Here is a 5,711-nt window from a genome sequence, read left to right as displayed (position 1 = left end):
TCTTCTCGAGGAGTATCTTTGTGGCGTTCTCTGTATTTCCTGAATCTGAACGTTGGCCTGCCTTGCTAGATTGGGGAAGTTCTCCTGGATAATATCCTGCAGAGTGTTTTCCAACTTGGTTCCATTCTCCCCATCACTTTCAGGTACCCCAATCAGACGTAGATTTGGTCTTTTCACATAGTCCCATATTTCTTGGAGGCTTTGCTCATTTCTTTTTATTCTTTTTTCTCTAAACTTCCCTTCTTGCTTCATTTCATTCCTTTCATCTTCCATTGCTGATACTCTTTCTTCCAGTTGATCGCATCGGCTCCTGAGGCTTCTGCATTCTTCACGTAGTTCTCGAGCCTTGGTTTTCAGCTCCATCAGCTCCTTTAAGCACTTCTCTGTATTGGTTACTGTAGTTATACATTCTTCTAATTTTTTTTCAAAGTTTTCAACTTCTTTGCCTTTGGTTTGAATATCCTCCCGTAGCTCAGAGTAATTTGATCATCTGAAGCCTTCTTCTCTCAGCTCGTCAAAGTCATTCTCCATCCAGCTTTGTTCCGTTGCTGGTGAGGAACTGCGTTCCTTTGGAGGAGGAGAGGCGCTCTGCTTTTTAGAGTTTCCAGTTTTTCTGTTCTGTTTTTTCCCCATCTTTGTGGTTTTATCTACTTTTGGTCTTTGATGATGGTGATGTACAGATGGGTTTTTGGTGTGGATGTCCCTTCTGTTTGTTAGTTTTCCTTCTAACAGACAGGACCCTCAGCTGCAGGTCTGTTGGAATACCCTGCCGTGTGAGGTGTCAGTGTGCTCCTGCTGGGGGGTGCCTCCCAGTTAGGCTGCTCAGGGGTCAGGGGTCAGGGAGCCACTTGAGGAGGCAGTCTGCCCGTTCTCAGATCTCCAGCTGCGTGCTGGGAGAACCACTGCTGTCTTCAAAGCTGTCAGACAGGGACATTTAAGTCTGCAGCGGTTACTGCTGTCTTTTTGTTTGTCTGTGCCCTGCCCCCAGAGGTGGAGCCTATAGAGGCAGGCAGGCCTCCTTGAGCTGTGGTGGGCTCCGCCCATTTCGAGCTTCCTGGCTGCTTTGTTTACCTAATCAAGCCTGGGCAATGGTGGGCTCCCCTCCCGCAGCCTCGCTGCCGCCTTGCAGATTGATCTCAGACTGCTGTGCTAGCAATCAGCGAGACTCCGTGGGCGTAGGACCCTCCAAGCCAGGTGTGGGATATAATCTCGTGGTGCGCCGTTTTTTAAGCCCGTCGGAAAAGCGCAGTATTCGGGTGGGAGTGACCCGATTTTCCAGGTGCCGTCCGTCACCCCTTTTTTGACTCGGAAAGGGAACTCCCTGACCCCTTGCGCTTCCCAAGTGAGGCAATGGCTCGCCCTGCTTCGGCTCGCGCACGGTGTGCGCACCCACTGACCTGCGCCCACTGTCTGGCACTCCCTAGTGAGATGAACCTGGTACCTCAGATGGAAATGCAGAAATCACCGTCTTCTGCGTCACTCACGTTGGGAGCTGTAGACCGGAGCTGTTCTTATTCGGCCATCTTGGCTCCTCCCCCTAGGTAACATTCTTGCCTTGTTCCTAATCTTAAGTTGAATGTATCAAATATTTTACCATTAAGTATGTAATTTTCTCTCAGTTTTTGTGGATGTTCTTTATTAGGGAAAATAAGTTTTCATCTGTTACTAGTTTGGTAAAATTTAATTTTTAATTATGAATCTCTGTTGAGCTTTATCAAACAATTTTTCTGCATCAATTGAGATGGCCCAATGGATTTTCTACTTAATCTGTTAATGCAGTAAATTACATTAATTGATTTTCTAATATTAACCAATCATTGTCATATCTCATTTTTTTCCATACATTTTTTATTTGGTTGGCAATGTCTTTTATAGGATTTTTTCATCTATGTTTATGAGTGAAACTGTACTGTTATTTTCATTTCTTATAGTATCCTTAGGTTGTTTTGTTACCTAGACAATGCTAGCCTCATGTTAAGAGTTGGGAATGTTTTCTCTTTTTTATTTTCTGAAAGAAGTTGCTTATGATGTATGTTCTAGCACTATTGCTTGCAGGGGTCAACACCAAAGCAGCTGAAACTATTCCTGAAGTCATTTTTAAAGACATTGTATTTGCCTGTTTATAGGAAATTTAAATATTGGCATTTTAAGAGATTAGATTTTGGGCTTATTATAGCAGCAGAGAAAGTATATTCATCTTTTCCTAGCCTCTGTCACCTACACATTTCTTTATGATGGAAGTAATTCACATCTATACAGTGAGGTCTGATTGTATATGAAGGCTTATAATAGTTAGATACAGAGGAAAAGGGAGGTATTAATTTACCATTTTCTAACTCATCAATAGTCTCGGAAAGTATCCAGCGATTTGAGAAAAAAATTCTGCTTGTTAAACTTTTTGGATTTTCTTGCTGAGGAGGGTGAGGTTTTAGGTTTTTAGGTTTTAGGTGGGTTTTATTTTCAGGGCTTTTAGGAAAAGGGGAACGACAATTATACCTCAAGTGTTCCAATCCTCAGCTGATAGAAAAGGAAGATCTACTTTACAGTAGCTCATCAAATACATTGTCCTCAGAAATTCAGGGGACACAGCATCTTCTTCAGGAGCAAGTGTTCCTTGTTTAACTATTGCGTGGTTGAAGCCCACAGATGTTAGATTGGGTCCCCATACCAATTTATTTCAGTGGATTATGATTGCAACAAATTCAGAGAAACATTTCCCATAAAACCATTATTGTAAAAGTTCAACTCCTTTACAATTGTTAGAGGATTAGGTTACCACTTCTAGTAACTGCTCACTTATGTTCTTCAGTCTCATAACAAGGACTTTCAAAACATTTTGCTTAACACATTCCATTTCTATGTAAACAAGACAGGCTTCAAATGAGATGCCTTTCTTGTCTGGGGTTAAATTTGAGATTTAAGTGCACTTCGGAATTTAAATATAGCGGAATAAATAAGTGAACCATGTAAGAGTGACCTCACCTGCATCTGCATTTTCAGTCTAACTATTCAGGTTTGTCAAGAGAGTCTGAAAATACAACAATTACTTATACCTACTCTTGATTTCCAACTTGCAGTTAAGACCTATCTAAATATAGGCAGCGAATAGAGTGTCAAAAATAGAAGATGTAAGAAGTTGGAGAAAAATTACCTACCATGTTGCAGTATTGCAACATTTTAAAATATTTTCTTTCTTTCCCTTTTCTTTTGGGGTATTAAAATTTTTAAATTAAGGTATAGCTTGCATACAGAAAAGTTAACTCTTTTCAGTGTATAGCTAATTTTGACAAAGCCATAAAAAAGTATAACCCCTACCACAATCAAGATGTAGAACAATTTCACCACTCAAAAGAAACAAACAAACAAACAACAACAACAACAACAACAAAAAACCCTCACTCTGCTTTGTACAGGCATACTTCAGAGATATTGTGGATTTGGTTCCAGATCACTGCAATAAATGAATACTGCAATACTGTCACATAAGTTTTCTGATTTCCCAGTACATGTAAAAGTTATGTTTACACTATACTATAAGGTGTGTAATAATATTATGTCTAAAAAATGTACACGCCTTAATTTAAAAATATTTTGTTGTTGAAAAATGCTAATGATCTATTGAGCCATCATAATCTTTATGCTGGCAGAGAGTCTTACCTCGATGCTGATGGCTGTTGAATAGTCAAGGTAGTGATTGATGAAAGTTTGGGGATATCTGTGGCAATTTCTTAAAATAAGGAAACAATGAAGTTTGCCACATCAATTGACTCTTTTTCACAAAAGATTTCTCTGCAGCAAGCAATGCTGTTGATAGTATTTTACCCACAGCAGAACTTTTTTCAAAATTGGAGTCAACCCACTCAAACCCTGCTGCAGATTTATCCAATGGGTGGCTATAATATTCTAAACCCTTTGTTGTTACTTTAACAATGTTCATAGCATCTTCATCAGGAGTAACATTCCATTGGAAGACATCCTTTTCTTAACCTTAATAAGCAACTCCAAATCCATTCAAGTTTCATCATGACATTGCAGCAATTCAGTGACATTTTCAGGCTCCGCTTCTAATTCTAGTTCCCTTCCTATTTCCACCACATCTTCAGTTCCTCTCCTATTGAAGTCTTGAGACCCTCAAAATCACCCATGAGGGTTGGAATCAACTTATTCCAAATTCCTGTTAATGTTGATATTTTGACCTGTTCCTAGATTCATGGATGTTCTTAATGGCATCTAGAATGGTGAATCCTTTCTAGAAGGTTTTGAATTTACTTTGCCCAGATCCATCAGAGGTATCACTCTCTATGGTAGCTACAGCTTTACAAAATGTTTTTCTTTTCTTTTTCTTTTTGTTTTTTTGAGACGGAATCTCGCTCTGTCACCCAGGCTGGAGTGCGGTGGCGCAATCTCGGCTCACTGCAAGCTCCACCTCCAGTGTTCACACCATTCGCCTGCCTCAGCCTCCCGATTAGCTGGGACTACAGGCGGCCGCCACCATGCTCGGCTAATTTTTTTTTTCTGTATTTTTAGTAGAGACGGGGTTTCACCGTGTTAGTCAGGATGGTCTCAATCTCCTGACCTTGTGATCCACCCGCCTCGGCCTCCCAAAGTGCTGGGATTACAGGCGGGAGCCACCGTGCCTGGCCACAAAATGTTTTTCTTAATTAATGACTTGAAAGTCAAAATTATTCCTTGATTCACCCACTATGGAATGGATGCTGTATTAGTGGGCATGCAAACAGCAATAATCTCCTTGCACATCTTCATCAGAGCTCTTGGGTGACCAGATGTATTGTTAATGAGCAGTAATATTTTGAAAGGAATCTTTTTTTTTTTTTTTTCTGAGCAGTAGGTCTCATCAATGGGCCTAACATATTCAGTAAACCATGCTGTAAATAGATATGCTGAAACCGAGGCTTTGCTTTTCCACTTATAGGACACAGGCAGAGTAGATTTAGCATAATTCTTAAGGGCTCTAGGATTTTTGGAATGGTAAATGAACATTGCCTTCAACTTAAAGCCACCAGCTGCATTAGCCCCTAACAAGGGAGTCAGCCTGTCCCTTGAACCTTTAAAGCCAGTCATTGACTTCTCTTCTGTAGCTATTAAAATCCTAGATGGCATTTTCTTCCAATATAAGGCTGTTTTGTTTACAATGAAAGTCTGTCGTTTCATGCAGCCACTTTATCAATGATCTTAGCTAGATGTTCTGGATAACTTGCTGCAGCTTCTGCATCAGCACTTGCTGCTTCTCCTTGTACTTTTGTGTTATGGAGACAGATTATTTTCTTAAACTTCATGAACCATCCTTTGCTAGCCTAAAATTTTTCTTCTGCATTTTCTTCACCTCTTTCAGCTTTCACAGAACTGAAGAGAGTTAGGGCTTTGCTCTGGATTGGCTTTAGCCTAAGGGAAAGTTGTGGTTGGTTTGATCTTCTATCCAGATCACCAAAACTTCTCCATCTTTGCAGTAAGGCTGTTTCTTTTTCTTCTCATTCATGTGTTCACTGGAGTAGGACTTTTAATTTCCTTCAGGAATTTTTCCTTTGAATTTATAACTTGGCTAACTGTTTGATGCAAAGGGCCTAGCTTTCTTTTTTTTTCACCAAACTTAATCGTTTCTAGCTTTTGATTGAAAGTGAAAGACATGTGACTCCTCCTTTCACTTGAACACTTAGGGACTATTGTAGGGTTATTAACTGACCTAATTTCAA

At 40.2% G+C, this 5,711-nt stretch overlaps 2 annotated features.

Moving 5' to 3' along the window:
• Positions 951–1,245: an enhancer, noted in NCBI's record as "tiled region #7973; K562 Activating DNase unmatched - State 3:PromF". NCBI's record gives its function as "activates a minimal TATA promoter and a strong SV40 promoter by Sharpr-MPRA in K562 cells {active_cell/tissue: K562}" and the evidence as "EXISTENCE:reporter gene assay evidence [ECO:0000049][PMID:27701403]".
• Positions 1,237–1,803: an enhancer, noted in NCBI's record as "H3K27ac-H3K4me1 hESC enhancer chr6:117565651-117566217 (GRCh37/hg19 assembly coordinates)". NCBI's record gives its function as "activates a minimal SCP1, AML or CMV promoter by ChIP-STARR-seq in primed H9 embryonic stem cells {active_cell/tissue: H9 hESC(primed)}" and the evidence as "EXISTENCE:reporter gene assay evidence [ECO:0000049][PMID:30033119]".

Source organism: Homo sapiens, chromosome 6 (genome assembly GCF_000001405.40).
Source record: "Homo sapiens chromosome 6, GRCh38.p14 Primary Assembly".
NCBI lineage: Eukaryota > Metazoa > Chordata > Mammalia > Primates > Hominidae > Homo > Homo sapiens.
This window is presented reverse-complemented; position numbering and strand designations above follow the sequence as displayed.